At 47.5% G+C, this 16,733-nt stretch overlaps 1 protein-coding gene across 4 annotated transcripts, besides 1 other annotated feature; it reads right to left on the minus strand.

Annotated features, from left to right (window-relative positions):
• Positions 6,312-6,512: a silencer, noted in NCBI's record as "peak3552 fragment used in MPRA reporter construct". NCBI's record gives its function as "represses an SCP1 promoter by STARR-seq MPRAs in K562 erythroleukemia cells {active_cell/tissue: K562}" and the evidence as "EXISTENCE:reporter gene assay evidence [ECO:0000049][PMID:32103011]".
• Positions 8,831-14,927, minus strand: LILRA5 (leukocyte immunoglobulin like receptor A5). Of its 4 annotated transcripts, NM_021250.4 has the most exons (7): positions 14,778-14,927; positions 14,298-14,382; positions 14,096-14,131; positions 13,625-13,909; positions 13,175-13,477; positions 9,459-9,509; positions 8,831-9,310 (listed from the first exon to the last, which is right to left on the minus strand). In NM_021250.4, the coding sequence occupies exons 1-7, from the start codon at positions 14,778-14,780 to the stop codon at positions 9,174-9,176; spliced, it is 900 nt and encodes a 299-aa protein (NP_067073.1). In that variant the 5' UTR covers positions 14,781-14,927; the 3' UTR covers positions 8,831-9,173. The 4 variants fall into 4 exon arrangements, with proteins under 4 accessions (NP_067073.1, NP_871714.1, NP_870994.1 ...); NM_181985.4 differs by lacking the exon at positions 14,096-14,131; NM_181879.3 differs by lacking the exons at positions 8,831-9,310; positions 9,459-9,509 and having other exon boundaries at positions 12,926-13,477.
• Between the last annotated feature and the right edge of the window lie 1,806 nt (positions 14,928-16,733).

A 16,733-nucleotide genomic window follows, 5' to 3' on the forward strand; every position in this document is an offset into this window, starting at 1 on the left:
GGTTTCCTTAATGTTCTGTGACACTGAGCTTCCCTCTTTATCCAGCTGGTGCTCTTGGGGCTCCAGGGTACCCTGACACCAGGTGGTCACAGGCCTCCTCCCAGGGATCACACAGTCTGGCTCAGTCCAGGTGGTGGGTTTAGTGAGGAGCCTTGAAATGAAATCACAGGTTGGGTCCCAAGATACTAATGCATTCCTCAAATCCCAGCTGTCAGTCCCAAGACCCGCCCAGATGTCCCCATCAGTCAGCTCAGAGATGCTGTTCTCCATCCCCAGGTGGCTGGGGGTGGCCCGTTGTCCCCAGTGAGCAGGAGCGACCTGGGACTGCTGGGGACAGACTCACCTGCCTGCACATGGGTCCTGAAGCTCAGACTCAGCCCTGGAAGAGAGTTCCCTGTGAGAGATTTGCCCCTGAAGCCTGAGCAGGTCCTCCCCTGCCTGGGAGCATCCTGACCCCTGAGATTTCCTGATAGACCAGGGCTTGGCTGTGGAGTGAAGTCCCTTCAAGACTAGGGTGCCCCTTCTCCTCTTGAAATCTCACCAAGTCAGAGTAGGGTTGTGAGGGTGGGAGTCACGGCATCTCCTCCCACTGGCCCCAGCTGTACAGATGGATGAAACCATGGTGTCCAGGAGGACAGACAGACACACTCAAAGGCTGGGTTCTCCCTGTCATGGGGTTGTCCCATCAGCAGCCCCACAGGAAGGGGAACTGCAGAAGCCTGGCTCTCATTTCCCCAGGGCTGAGGTGGGAGTGAGCACCAGGTTTCCTGAAGACATTTCAGACAGAAATGGGCTCCCCCTGATCCTTGGCTACTGGCTGCAGGATCTTTCCTCATCTTATTGAGGGCTAGGATGTAGTAGAAAAATGGGCCCAGGGCCTCCCTGAGTGAGCCTCTTCCAGGTGAGGGTAACTGAGGGCTTCTCTTCCCCTCTCAGAGCCTCCACATGGGGTCTCCTTTACTCCTTCATCCTGTCTATCAGCACGGGGTTGTGGGGTCCTTACCATGGCCAGTCATCTCATCCGTCGTGGAGATGCTTCAGGGAAAATGCAGGTCCATGGTGCAGGGCAGACTCAGGTCAGCAGAGACGCATCTGACATCAGGCTGTGTAGTTCAAGTTGAGCTGCACTGTGGCAATGAGCGCAATGGAGAAACACAGGAAATATGGGTAGAGAACACGACCTGTATCCAACACTGCCAGTTTGCTCTATCAACCCGTGCCCTCCATGGACTTTCCCTTTCTCTTAGCAGCAGTATCCACCTTCGTCTCCTTGGAAACAGACTTGTGATCCACTCCTGAGTCTTCAGTGTCCTTTGTTTCCCTGAGGGGAACTCACCTGTTGGGATGGGGAGCTGATTTTTACTTAATGATTGCTCATTATCTGCTGCCCATGTGACCTTGAGCCTTCACAACCCCTTCTCTGAGCCTCAGTTTCCTTGTGTGGAGCAAGTTGTTACACACCCCACTCATCAGAGGGGTCGTGGGGGTCGGCGGTGACTGGGACTTCGAAGGAGCTCAATGATGGTTAATTCCCAGGACAGAGTAAGACATAGGGTTGTAAATTTGAGAAAATCAGGGTGTTGGACAATTGACGCTCCCACCCAAGAATCCTCATCTACCCTGAGCACTAAGAAATTGTACATATAATATTGCTTAAATACACAGATTATCACAGTCATGAGTAGAAATCCTTCCTTCCTTCTTCCTTCCTTCCTTCCTTCCTTCCTTCCTTCCTTCCTTCCTTCCTTCTTCCTTCCTTCCTTCCTTCCTTCCTTCCTTCCTTCCTTCCTTCCTTCCTCCCTCCCTCCCTCCCTCCCTCACTCCCCCCCCCTTTCTTTCTTTCTTTCTTTCTTTCTTCTTTCCTTTTTTTTTTTTTTTTGACAGAGTCTCACTCTGTTGCCCAGGCTGGAGTGCAGTGGCACAATCTTGGCTCACTGCAACCACCATCTCCTGGGTTCAAGTGATTCTCCTGCCTCAGCTTCCTGAGTAGCTGGGACTACAGGGGCATGCCACCGCACCTGGCTAATTTCTTTTGTATTTTAGTAGAGATGGGGTTTCTCCATGTTGCCCAGGTTGGTCTTGAACTCCTGAGCTCAGGCAATCCGCCCGCCTCGCCCTCCCAAAGTGCTAGGATTACAGGCGTGAGCAACCACGCCCAGTCGAAGGACTAGTTTTTAATTCCGGTTCTGGCTGTCTGGTTGGTTTTGGTTTTCCTCATGTATGTTTGCTGAGAGGATCTATGTAGTTGCCTGTGATGCCCGTTAATCCAAAATTGCCACCTCACTTTCATCAGTAGGTGGTATCTTAGGCCATCGTTATATAAGAGTAACTTTTTTTTCACTTTTTGGAAAATATTTTATTTGCCAAAATACATTTGAGAAAAATAATGTTGATTATACAAGCGGATAAAGCAATTGTCATATATATATACACACATACACACACACATATATACATCTATACATATACACATATATATACATATACACACATATATACGCATATATACATATATACACACACATATATACATATATATATGTATACACGCACACACACAAATATATATACACTGTGGAATACTACTCAGCCATAAGAGGGAACAAAATAATGGCATTCATAGTGACCTGGATGAAATTGGAGACTATTATTCTAAGTGAAGAAATTCAGGAATGAAAAACCAAATATTTTATGTTCTCATTCCTAAGTGGGAGCTAAGCTATGAGGATGCAAAGGCATAAGAATGCTACAATGGACTTTGGGGACTCGGGGGAAAGGGAGGGAGGAGGTGAGGGATAAAAGACTATAAATCGGGTTTAATGTATACTACTAGGGTGATGGGTGCACAAAAATCTCAGAAATCATCACTAAAGAACTTCTGCAAGTAACCAAACACCACGTTCCCCAAAAACCTATGGAAATAAGAAAGAAAATAAAAGAAAAATGATGTTGGTTATAAGTTGTGCAAACCTGTGTCTTAACTTGTTCATTCCACCAGCATAAAATGCAGCAACACATGTGCAGTGTTGGCCCCAGGCAAATCTGCTTGAGACTCAATGTTCAAGATTGTTATTAGGTGGGGACCACATAGGCATAATGAGCAGCTACAGAGAAACCAGAGGAAACCGGGTGTTCGCCATGAATTACACTGTTTACAGAAACAGCCTAGTGAAGACATAACAGCAGAATTCAGTGCCGCAGGCACACAACCTCACGTTGTCTCTTAGTAACACAGGGGACATGCTAGAAGCAAGTTCCTAGATGCCAACCAAGAATCAAGCTCACAAACAAGTCCTTCTAAAGTTAGCATCCTCATCACTGTTAGGTTAACTTCTTCTTGCATATCCTTCACCTAAAAGAAATAGTAGTCATCTTCAATCCTTCAGCACAGCGTTCACACAGCACGTGCCTCCAGCTCTCCCAGATTCTTCTAGGGCCAGCACAGCTTTTCTGATGCAGATTTTTCAAAGTTCTCCAAACTGAAGAGTCAATCCAAAATCATCTTGACTTTCCATGTTGGCGGCCTTTGGGGGCCTTCTCTGGCTGTGCTGAGCCTGAAAGATCATCCCCTAGAGACCGCCAGGATCAAGCCAGCATGGTCATTGGAATGAGATTCTCCATTGCATAGTCTGAAGGGGCATGGTCAGTAGACAGAACAGGGCATTCACTGGGGGCTAGACAGGCTGCACCCACATTGGGAGCCTGGATGGGTGTTTACACATTCACACTCCTGAAAGAGAAGTCGTAGTTACTCCTGACTTTGAAACTATACTTGGTGGATGCTGGTTGAGAGGATCAAGGACTCCTACGAATAAGAGCATGGGAGGATTAGAGCAGCTGGGGCCATTCTACTCCTGCTCCCCTGTCTTGGCTCCTTCATAACAACTCTCTTCCCTCTTTTTTTTTTTTTTTTTTTTTTTTTTTTGAGATGGAGTCTTGCTCCATTGCCCAGGCTGGAGTGCAGTGGTGCAATCTCAGCTCACTGCAACATCTGCCTCCCAGGTTCAAGCAATTCTTCTGTCTCAGCCTCCAGAGTAGTTGGGACTACAGGGGCCTGCCACCATGCCTGGCTAATTTTTGTATTTTTAGTAGAGACAGTGTTTCACCTTGTTGGTCAAGCTGGTCTCGAACTCCTGACCTCAGATGATCCACCTGCCTTGGACTCCCAAAGTGCTGGGGCCACCGCGCCTGGACCTCTCTTCCCTTCTCATGGGAGAATTGTGTAACCATCCTTGCTAACCTCAACTCCCACCTCAGATGGAGCACTGTATGATTTCCTTCCTCAAATTTGTTCAAGTTCTTGGGCCTCATTGAGGTCACCACCAACCTCTCGGTTTGGGGGATATTAAGAGTTTAGTTTTGCAACCACAACTCAGTGACAGAAAAAAGGAATTCAAAGATACAGGAATACTTAACTGTGCTCCTTTCTCATCTTCAATTTGTTCCCATATTAGGTAAACCCGTGCTTAACCCCTTAAGGTAAATACCTCTAGTAACTCTTCATCTGTCAATACAGAATTCAGAGATGCGTATGTGGGACTCTAGATTGTACCAGAGTCCAGGGTACAACAGAGCTAAAGGCTGTCACTGCCTTTTCTATTGTTCTGCCTCATCTAATTATCTCTGTGGTCCAGTGTAGCTTAATACTACTACTATTAAAAGTAATAATCACTGCCTCACTTTTAATGATTGGGTCCACTCATCTGTCCTGTTTTGCGATGAATGAGAGAATGATTTTAGAATCCAAGCCTTTTTTTTTTTTTTGAGACAGAGTTTTGCTCTTGTTGTCCAGGCTGGAGTGCAATGGTGCAATCTCGGCTCACCGCAACCTCTGCCTCCGATTCAAGCGATTCTCCTCCCTCAGCCTCCTGAGTAGCTGGGATTACAGGCATGCACAACTACACCTGGCTAATACTGTATTTTTAGTAGAGACAGTGTTTCTCTATGTTGGTCAGGCTGGTCTCGAACTCTTGACCTCAGGTGATCCACCCACCTCGGCCTCCCAAAGTGCTAGGATTACAGGTGTGAGCCACCATGCCGGGCCGCATCCAAGCCTCTTTTCCAGGAGCAAGAAATACTACAGTGAAAAAAATCTCCCATTGTTAATTCAATGTAGAAACTCATGAGAAAAAAGCAAAAAATTTTAAGGAGATAAATTAGAAAACAACATGTGCAGATGGATACATGGACAAAAAAATTAAGCTACCTAGAGATCTCGAATGTGTGTCAACCTAATACAAGGACTATTAGAGAATACAGGTGGGCAAGAATCACTTAACCCACTTTGTCATGGAAAATGTCTTTGAGGATGTGACAGGTTTGGAAAAATGAAAAAATGACAAAGTGGTCATTATATGAAGATCCAGAAAAATAATATTATTCAATATAGGATCAGCTGATTGAAGTATTCAACAAATATGCAGAAAGTTTCCTAGTGTGGACAAGACTTATTTGATTATGAGGAAATTTAATAAGTGCTGTGAAGTAACATAGATCTGTATTCACAGATGTGCAATAAATTAAGTAAAAATCAATAAAGACATAAAATGAGAAAAAAACCTATCTACAATAAAACCATCAATCTCAAATCATTGGATGGAGAGAAATATACATATACAGAATACTCTCTGAGAATAACTAGAATAAGGAGATATGTGGCCGGGTGCAGTGGCTCACACCTGTAATCCCAGCACTTTGGGAGGTCGAGGTGGGTGGATCACTTGAGGTCAGGAGTTCAAGACCAGCCTGACCAACATGGTGAAACCCCGTCTCTACTAAAAATACAAAATTAGCCGGAAATGGTGGTGCATGCCTGTAATCCCAGCTACTCAAGAGGCTGAGGCAGGAGAATCGCTTGAGCCTGGGAGGCGGAGGTTGCAGTGAGCAGAGATCACGCCACTGTACAGGAAGTTTCAAACCCAGGAGAGGTTATCTTTCAAGTACTCAGTGTTGTGGTTTCTCCTGCCAGGGTGACAACCTGATGATTATGGAAATCTAATCAGAAAACTGCTATCTTGCTTTTATTCCTACCTCCACAGGATGAAAACAGTTAATGGTAGAGACAAAATATGTCCAGAGTAGACAGGAGTCACAGAAAAAGTGAATTCTGATACGTTCTTTCCCAGGAAGTTACTGGTACAGAAGTTTAGAACTGAGATACCTTTTGGAAACAAGGATGGCATTCTGCCTTTGATGGATGGAAGAGTACTATCCCAGATTTAGATAGAGTTTGCTAAAGGCGTCTATCTTAGAGTGGCTGAGCCATCTCCACTTCAAGCTATGACTTTCTGTGAATTACCCACCCACTTGTCCTTCACAATAAGAGCTTACCCACCCACTTGTCCTACAGAATAAGAGGGACCTTTTAGTCTGCTCTTCTGATTGCGGACCTGATTCCACAGGTGCCTGGGGCATCTTTGCAATCCCTAGGAATCAGCACCATGGACAGGGGCAAGGAATAGGGTCCACTCCTCTCTCCACTTCAGCTGGACCTCTTGTTCGTTTTCTTTCTTTCTTTCTTTCTTTCTTTCTTTCTTTCTTTCTTTCTTTCTTTCTTTCTTTCTTTCTTTCTTTTCTCTCTTTCTCTCTTTTTCTTTCTTTTCTCTCTCTCCTCTTCTTTTCTTTCTTTCTTTCTTTCTCTTTCTTTCTCTCCTTCTTCCCTTCTTTCTTTCTTTCTTTCTTTCTTTCTCTTCCTTCCTTCCAACTTTTATTTCAGACACAGGGAGTACAAGTACAAATTTCTTACATGGGAATATTGCTTGATGCTGAGGTTTGGAGTACGGATCACATCCCCCAACTAGTGAGCATAATACCCAATAAGTAGTTTTTAACCCTCTTCCACCCTCTAGTAATCCACAGTGTCTATTTTTCCTATCCTTATGCTCATCTTTTTCTTTACACATTTCACCTCATACTGACCACCCAGCAGGAACAAAATACCTCAATGCTGCTTGGAAAATAAGGCTCCCTCCCTTCATCTCTACCTTTCTTCCCAGGCTCTCTGGAAACAACCTCTTCTGTAAAGACTTCAAGGGCAGAAGAATAAGCTGAGAAACTCAGCCCAGAGCTGCCGGAGACTGTGACTCCTGTAGTCTGTGAGGACCTTGTTGCTCAGCCAACATGAAGTGAGTCCATGAGGGTGAGGAGCTGCAGATCCCACAGACTGTTTGGGGCAGGGACAGAAGGAGTAGGTGGGGTTGTGGTGCCTCTTGCTCTGTTCCTCAGCTTCATCTCTTTTGCTCAAAGGTTGGCCCCCTACCTTTTCAAATCTTCTCATTCCACTCACCCAGCACCTTCTGTGACCCCCGAGTAGGGTAAGGCATGGAGAGTGAGAATGACCCCCACTTTCATGAATTTCTTCATCCCTTTCTGAGATGGGATTGCCCTATGACTGGTCCCTGCTGTTTTTCCTTCCTTCTATCCCAGGCCGGGGCTCTCCTAGCACAGGGATGCATGCTAAGGTTTAGAATCTTAACGGATGTGGTGCTTGGAGCTCCTGTACTGAGACCAAAATCTTTAGGGGTCACTGGGGTGTGACAATAGGGGTAAGGAGGAACTATGTGGACCACAGCACTAGTAGGTCCCCCTGTGGGCTGAAGTCAGAGGGCTTGGAGTAAACTTGGCCTGAGAGAGTAAGGCCATGTCTTTCAATCGATGGTTTTGGGGAGGCACAAGTGACCGGTCCTTGGACAGACAGAAGGTACCCAACCAGATCTCTGAGTAGCACTGCAAGGTCAAGTTCTCTCCCGAGGACACTAAGGGCCCTGGCTCAGACAAATGGAGGGTTTCTTGTACATTTCTAGGAAATATGAAGGTTGCAGTGTGTACAAAGCAGCCCCTTCCCACATGTCCTGGACCCCGAACTGAGGGACTGGCCTCCTCTCTCTCAGCTCCTGTTAGACTCTTGGTGTGGGTCTTTGTAATCTCCAGGCCTCTCACTCTCCTTTTCTAAGTTGCTCTCCTTGGACCACTGCCTCATCGCATCCTCTACTCTAGGACCCTCTCCCTGGACCCTCAACCCAGGGATGACCCTGGTCCCAGGACCCTGAGCATATAATCAAGACAGGGGGCTAGGCCAGGCGCAGTGGCTCACCCCTGTAATCCCAGCACTTTGGGAGGCCGAGGTGGGCAGATCACGAGGTCAGGAGATCGAGACTATCCTGGCCAACATGGTGAAACCCAGTCACTACAGGCCAGGTGCGGTGGCTCACACCTTTAATCCCAGCACTTTGGGAGGCTGTGGCGGGCAGATCACGAGGTCAGGAGATCGAGACTATCCTGGCCAACATGGTGAAACCCTGTCACTACTAAAAATACAAAAATTAGCTTGGCATGGTGGCATGCGCCTGTAGTCCCAGCTACTTGGGAGGCTGAGGAAGAAGAATTGCTTGAACTCGGGAGGTGGAGGTTGCAGTGAGCCGACATAGTGCCACTACACTCCAGCCTGGGTGACAAAGCGAGACTCCGTCTCAAAAAAAAAAAAAGAGCGAATGGGGCTTGAAGGCTACAGACAAGAGGTTAGGACGCCATTTTGGATTTATCTTTTCCTGGAGGGCATCTGATCTTCTCCCATGGATTTAGTTACTGGTTCAGGTGTGGAACTCTGAACTGAAGAGATGGAGGCTCAGTAAAGCACACAGGGAGTGTGATAATGAGAATTGAAGTGGACTGTGTGACACGCCAAGGACCAGAGCATGCAGGTGTGCAGAGATGTGGACCCAACGCTGCCTGCCATGTGGGATGTAGCCTCATGTCTCGGGCTGGGAAGAGAAGGGAATCCAACCAAGGGAAGTCAACATTAATAGAAAGGAAAGGTGTCACATTTTAATGGTCCTCCATGGATCACCCCAGACCAGTGTCTCTGCACTCAAACACCCATTCCTCCCTCTAGAAATTGCCAGAGGCTGAGGCAGGAGAATCACTTGAACCCGAGAGGCGGAGGTTGCAGTGAGCCCAGATTGCGCCACTGCATTCCAGCCTGGTGACAGAGCAAGACTCCATCTCAAAAAAAAAAAAAAAAAAAAAAAAGAAAGAAAAGAAAAGAAAGAAAAAAAGAAATTGCCAGCAGACAGTCCAGATGGCATAGGCCTCAGATGGTCTTCCCGAACCTCCTAGGACCATCAGATTCGCTTCCAAGGCTCCAGCATTCAATGGTGCATTGTTCTCTCTTCTGTTCACCTTCCAGCTGCAGCTTGGGGGCTTCTCTGGCTGTGCCAATCCTGAAATATCAGAATCCCAAGGACCACCAGGATCAAGCCGGCCATGCCCATGCGGATGAGATTCTCTACTGCGTAATCCTGAAGGTGTGAGGCTGGGGATGGTGGACAAAGAGGTCACAGAGGTCAGGGCAGATCAGTATCACCCAGGACCCCTGGATGTCTCCCCAGGGCACCCATATCATCTTGACAGGACCTGACCCTCTGTGCCAGTTCCATAACTGAGAGCATCTCCTCACTCACCAGTCCCAGAGTCAGACTTGTTTTGTGACGGACTGAGGTTATCAGCTGCTCCTGAAAATCAAAACAGGGGAAGGGGAAGGAGAAGTTCTTGAAGCAATCTGAGCCCAGCCTCTCCCCTGAGCTCTGCATTCTCCTAGTTCCCTGTGCCTCTCAACATGACTTTTATGGAGTTCCTCCATAAACCCTCCCTCTGCTGGAGCAGGGTTCCCTCCAGTCTCCTCACTGAATTATTTCAGCTTTCCTTTGTTCTTTGAATTTAAACTTTGCTCCTGAGTCATTTGGGAAAGAGCTTTCCTGCACCGTGAAAGCTCAGGATCTGCAAGGAAAGTGGCCCCCAGAAGTCACTGAGCCCTTTGTGCTCTCTGTGCAGCCTGGGACACAGGAGCACATAAGCCAATTCCCCCAGAGATGAGAGTTTCACGGATCCACCAGCTGAGGACCCAGGCTCCATGGATGACGGGTTGGTCCTCAGGGGCTCCTGAAAGTCAGAATCACAAACAGCTGCCTCCCCTTGACGCCACCTCAACCACCTCACCTGGTGTTTCATCATACAATAAGTCTCTAGTCAGCTAACTATTCATATAGTCAGTCATATATATATACGTATGTATATAAATGTGTGTGTGTGTGTGTGTGTGTATATATATGTATATATAAATATATATATATATATATATATATATATATATATATATATATATATATATATATGGTGTTACAGAGGCTCATAAAACAATTTCTGCTTTTAGGGCCAGGCGTGGTGGCTCATGCCTGTAATCCCAGCACTTTGGGAGGCCAAGGCGGGCAGATCACGAGGTTAGGAGTTCGAGACCAGCCTGGCCAACATGGTGAAACCCCGTCTCTACTAAAAATAAAAAAATGAGCCGGGCATGGTGGCACCTGCCTGTAATCCCAGCTACTTGGGAGGCTGAGACAGGAGAATCACTTGAACCTGGGAGGCAGAGGTTGCAGTGAGCCCAGGTCATGCCATTGCACTCCAGCTTGGGCAACAGGGCAAGAGACTCCATCTCAAACAAACAAACAAAAATTTCTGCTTTTATAAAGTGTGAGTCTAGGTGAGAAGACCAATAACAAACATGTAAAAGCCCTCCATGTCAAATACATTAAGCATGTAGATATACGTATAAAAAATATATGCAGATATACCTACACTTATATTCAGATGTAACTTATATAACCATACATAAATATGTATATATGTAAAACTTTAGATATTTATTTAAGATGCAGTTACATGCATATTAATACTTGAAGTGACAAAAATTGATATGCGGTTTAGAAATAAAAAATAAAATTTCAATTTTCTTATAGTTAATATAAATTTTATCAGTAAATTTGGGGAGATCAGTTGAAAGATAATTGAAAGGGAAAAATGTTATAGCAAGCTAAAATGAAATTAAATGAATATACTCAAACTAAAAGCTTTCTCATGTGTATATCTTACTTAGAAATATAAATGAATCAGGCTGGGCATGGTGGCTCACGCCTGTAATCCCAGCACTTTGGGAGGCCTAGGTGGGTGGATCACGAGGTCAGGAGATCGAGACCATCCTGGCTAACACAGTGAAACCCCATCTCTACTAAAAATACAAAAAAATTAGCCCGGCATGGTGGTGGGTGCCTGTAGTCCCAGCTACTCGGGAGGCTGAGGCAGGACAATGGCGTGAACCCAGGAGGCGGAGCTTGCAGTGAGCCGAGATCGCGCCACTGCACTCCAGGCTGGGCGACAGAGCAAGACTCCATCTCAAAAACAAAAACAAACAAACAAACAAAAGAAATATACATGAATCAAATACTTCACTTAAGAATAAAGTAGTTGAAGAATTTTTTAAATTAGACTAAATGTACACATTCTTATGAACGGAACTTGAAAACACTTATTAACTTCATTAATAAACTTCAATTTTATATATTAATAATAGAAATACTTGCTATTAACAACTAATTTTATACAGCAAATGTAAATATTGAATTATGCCCCCAGGACAATGGGAGTGGAATTACTTGTTTTTAAATCATAAATCCATATATCTTAAAGAGACAAATTTAAATATTCAAATATTGTTTTAAAAGATTCAGAAGAAGAGAGAAAAAATAAACAAGTATGCCCAGAAAATGCAGAGCAGCAATGAACAGCAGACAAGACGTGCTGTGAATAAGTTCCTAACTTCCTCCAGGGAGCAGGTGCGCGGCCCCTCCTTTGTCTCAGGGGTGCCCTGAGCACAGAGGCCTCCAGGTGAGCACAGGAGGGGCGGTGTGAGTGGTACCCACAGCTGGGGCGCTTCTCTCTAAAGGAGCAGGTCTGGCGTGGACTCCAGCCTCATCACCGTCAGATCCCACCGAGGCCTGAGCAGCCTCCTCCCCTGTCCTGAGTGGGCTCAGGGACCCCGCAGGTGTGGGTGAGGGGCTCCATCCTCAGGGGCTCTTGGAAATGAGAAGTGAGAGCTGCCAAGGGAGCGTCCGTCTGTCCTCTCTCCAACTCGCCTGCCTCTCTTCCTCCTCCATCAGCCCCAGCATCTTCCCCATGTTCCAAGTCAGGCCTGGACCCCAAATCCTGCTGACCAGGTCTGTTCTCCTTCCTCTACTCATCACTCATCCCGCAGGATAGGGTAGGGGCCTGGGAGTCTTGTAAAGCTGCATGGTTTTTAGTAGAAAATCTGAAACGCTTCGTGTGACATGTGAGAGAGAGGAGATTCTAAACAGTGGGGTTTTTACACATCTTTGCTTTCTCATAATATTGTGGCTTCGTCTCACGAACCTCAGACCCCAGCACTGATGGATATGATTACATGTACCTGCAGCTGCCCCTCTTGGCTTTCTAACCCTTGCGAGGCATAGCTATTGGCAAGAGCAGACCAGGTCTTAGGGTGAGTGATGGGAGCTGCTTTTCTAGGTCTAGGATGAGCCACATCTCAGATGCCCCACAAGGTCAGAAATGAGGGGGCTTTGGGGGTCACTTCCAAGCTCAGGGGGAAGTCAGCCTGGGAGAGCCCAGCCTGGGGCTGCCGGCCAGTGGAGGAGGTCACGTCTGTCCTCCTTGTAGAGAGCAAACCTGTCATAGCCAACATCAGAGTGATACTGGAGGGTCAGGTTCTCTCCAGGGACCACAACAGGGCCCTGCGGGGTCAGGAGGGAGGGCTTTCTAGACACACCTGGAAGGATAAAGGAGCCGGGACTGCAGGGGCTGGTTCCTCCTATAAACCTCCTTCTGGAGTCTCCCTTGCTCTGTTTTTCTTTTTCTTTTTTTTTTTTTTTGAGACAGAGTCTCGCTCTGTCACCCAGGCTGGAGTGCAATGACACAGTCTCGGCTCACTGCAACCTCCGCCTCCCGGGTTCGAGCGATTCTCCTGCCTCAGCCTCCCAAGTAGCTGGGATTACAGGTGTGTGCCGCCACGCCCAGCTAATTTTTGTATTTTTAGTAGAAATGGGGTTTCACCATGTTGGCCAGGCTGGTCTTGAACTCCTGACATCAGGTGATCCACCTGCCTCGGCCTCCCAAAGTGCTGAGATTACACGTGTGAGCCACTGTGCCCAGCCCTTGCTTTGTTTTCCTCACCCTGAATTTGTGTCCCTAGGATTTCTGTGTTCTCCTTCCCCTTTTTGTCTTTCTTAGCAGGGGCTGCCCTGCCTGTAAAGCTCTCCACAACCTGTCTGGCTTCCCTGAATTGTACTAGAGAAGACTGTGGCTTCCTCACCTGAGACCGGAATCTCCAGGAGGTCACTGGGTTCTGACCATACCTGCAGGATATGCCTGCGAGAGCCATAGCATCTGAGCATCCACCTGTGGCTGGGGGTCACAGGGCCCACAGGGAACAGGGCCTGGAACTGCCCACTGGGGGTCAGCTGTGAGTCCAAGGTCCAGGAGAGCTTGTGGTCTCCTTCCTCAGTCAGAATGAACCTGTCGAATCTCAGCCGTGAGCCACACTGGAGGGTCACGTTCTCTCCTGAGGTCACCACAGGACTGGGCAGGGCTGAGAGGGTGGGTTTGTTGTAGAATCCTAGGAGAGAAGGAGGCACCGTGTTAAATGGGGCTCCCACCTCCCACATCATCCCCAGGGCTGGGCTGTGAAAGGGAGACACCCCTGAGAGCCGACCCCCTTCCTGAGGGCAGAGCCTGGAGCTGGGACCCCAGAGTGTCCTCTCACCTGTCACCACCAGCTCCAGGGGGTCGCTGGGCTCTGACCAGCCTGCAGGGCTGTAGTAGTAACAGCGGTATCTCCCTGCATGGTGCTCTGTCATGGATGGGATGGAGAATCTGGCCTTGTTCTTGGGCTCCAGTGGGTTCTGTGTGTCCCAGGGTTCTGGGCTTCCCTCTTTAACCAGACGGTATTCCTGGGCCTCCAGGGTCCCCTGACACCGGATGGTCACAGAGTTCCCCCGGCTGATCACAGAGCCTGGCTCAGCCCAGAGGGTGGCTTTGGAGAGGTTCCCTGGAAGGAAATCAGAGTCTGGGCTCCAAGACCTCCCCACCCCTCAGATCCCAGCTCTCAGCCCCAGGACCCTCCAGACGTCCCCATCAATCACCCAGAACTGCGGTCTTCACCCCCAGCTGCCCATGGGTGGCCCTTTGTCCCCATTGAGGAGGAGGGACCTGGGACAGCTGGGGACAGACTCACCTGCCTGCACGTGGGTCCTGGGGCCCAGACTCAGCCCTGGAAGAGAGTTCCCTGTGAGAGATTTGCCTCTGAAGCCTGAGCAGGTCCTCCCCTGCCTGGGAACCTCCTAAAACCCTGGAGTTTCCTGATAGACAAGGGCCTCGTTATGGGGTGGGGTCCCTCCCAGACTAGGGTGCCCCTTCCCTGAGGCTTCCAATCTCACCGAGGCAGAGCAGAACCATGAGGGCAGGGCTCACGGCGTCTCCTCCCACTGGCTGCAGCTGTGCAGATGGATGAGACCATGGTGCCTGGCAGGACAGAGAGACACACAGGGTGTGGCAGCTCGGAGGCTGGGTCCTTCTTGTCATAGGATTTTCTCATTCTCAGCCCACAGAAAGGGGAACTGCTCTCCCCAGGAGCCTGGCTCTCATTTCCCCAGGGCTGAAGTGAAGTAGTTGAGACTACAGGCACCAGGCTCTCTGCAGACATTTCAGACAGAAGTGGGGTCTCCCTTCCCCGGGCCACTGTCTGCCTGATTTATCTTTATCTCACTGAGAGCCGGGACACAGCAGCAAATAGACCCGGTGCCTTCCTGAGTCAGCCCCTTTCAGGCGAGGGTGACCTCCTCCCTCTCAGAGCCTCCCCATGGGGTCTCCCTCCCTCCTTCAGCCCGTCCATGAGCTCAGCGTTGCGGGGTCCTTACCATGGTCAGTGATTTTTCAGCCCTGGAGATGCTTCAGGGAAGATGCAGGTCCATGCCACAGGCAGACTCAGATCAGCAGAGACACATCTGACACCTGGCTGTGTAGCCCAGGCTGAGCTGCATGTGGCAATGAGCACAGAGGAGAAATGCAGGGAAATAGGGGAGGAAATCATGACCCTTTAGTGGCCCTGGAGTGTTTTCTTTCTAACCAATAGTACTCTCTTTCTTGTACTTCCCTTAATTTTTTTTTTTTTTTTTTTTTTTTGCAACAGCGTCCACCTCCACCCCACCTCCAGTAACAAACCTCTGAATCTTTTCTGCCTCCACTGTGCCTTCTGTTTCTTTGGGCTTCCCTCTATACCTCAATCCATGTTCAACATTTTCGGAGTAATTACTTAGGCTTTGTTTTAAAATTTTCATTCTTATGTATCTATTTATTTTTTAATTTTTGTGGGTACATTACTTAGGTTTGGGCTCTGGTTTGCTGAGTGGGGAGTTGATTTCTTTCTTTCTTTCTTTCTTTCCTTTTTTTTTTTTTTGAGACCGAGTCTCGCTCTGTCGCCCAGGCTGGAGTGCAATGGCGCTATCTCGGCTCACTGCAAGCTCCACCTCCCGGGTTCATACCATTCTCCTGCCTCAGCCTCCCGAGTAGCTGGGACTACAGGCGTCCGCCACCACGCCCGGCTAATTTTTTTGTATTTTTATTAGAGACAGGGTTTCACCATGTTAGCCAGGATGGTCTCGATCTCCTGACCTCATGATCCGCCTACCTCGGCCTCCCAAAGTGCTGGGATTACAGGCGTGAGCCACTGCGCCCGGCTGGTGGGGAGTTGATTTCTATGTAATTCCCGATTATTATCTACGGCTTGTGTGATCTTGGGCAGTACTGTCTCATCTCTGAGCCTCAGTTTCCCTGTGTGGAGCCTGTTGTCATGAACCTCACTCATCACAGCGGATGTGGGGGTCAGCCGTGCTTGGGTCATGGGAGAGGCTCAATCACGGTTAATGTCTAGACTAGATTAAGACATGAGGGGTTGGGACATGAGAGGATTCTGGTTTCAGTCTCTATGATTATGTCACAGAGGTGCAGAAAAAGCATTTGATAAAATCCTGCATCCCTTCATGATAAAAATTCCCAACAAACAAGGTACAGAGGGACATACCTCAAAATACTAAAGGCGATAGGTGACGAAATCCCAGCCAATATCGCAAACAGGGAAAAATAGAAAGCATTCCCCCTAAGAACTGGAGCATGACAAAGATGTGCACTGTCACCACTCTTCAACGTAGTACTGGAGGTCCTTGCCAGAGCAATCAGGCAAGACAAAGAAATAAAACACATCTAAATTGGAAAAAAAAAAAGTGAAATTATTTCTGTTCGCTGATGATATTATCTTATACCTCAAAAACCCTAAAGACTCAGCCAAAACACTCTTAGATTTGATAAAGAAATGCAGTAAAGTTTCAGGATATAGAATCAAAGTACAGAAATCAGTAGCATTTCTGTACTCCAATAATGACGAAGCTGAGAACCAAGTCAAGGAGGCAATCCCATGGACAGTGGGTGCACAAAAATAAAACACCTGGGAATATATTTAACCAAGGAGGTGAAAGATTTCTACAAGGAAAACTTCAAACCAGTGATGAAAGAAATTGTAGAAGACACAAACAGATGGAAAAACATCCCATTCTCATAAATCAGAATAATTACTATGATTAAAATGACCACATTGCCCAAAGCAATCTACAGATTTAATGCAGTCCTTACAAAAATACCTTCATTTTTCACAGACTTAGAAAAAGAAACCTTAAAAGTTATATTGAGCCAAAAAAAGAGCCCAAACAGCCATAGCAATCCTAAGCAAAAAGAGCAAAGCTAGAGACATCACATTAACTGACTCAAAGTTTACAAGGCTATAGTAACCAAAAGAGCATGACACTGGTATAAAAATAGAC

This window comes from Homo sapiens, chromosome 19 (genome assembly GCF_000001405.40).
Source record: "Homo sapiens chromosome 19, GRCh38.p14 Primary Assembly".
Taxonomy (NCBI): domain Eukaryota; kingdom Metazoa; phylum Chordata; class Mammalia; order Primates; family Hominidae; genus Homo; species Homo sapiens.

Bases quoted from the DNA above. Each gene is read 5' to 3' on its own strand.
- LILRA5 (NM_021250.4), bottom strand. The intron at 14,132-14,297 runs GTGAGATTGGAA...ACTCTCTTCCAG, and splicing joins CATGGTTCTGCTCTGCCTCG to GGCTGAGTCTGGGCCCCAGG. The intron at 9,311-9,458 runs GTGAGTGAGGAG...CACCATCCCCAG, and splicing joins CAAGTCTGACTCTGGGACTG to CCTCACACCTTCAGGATTAC.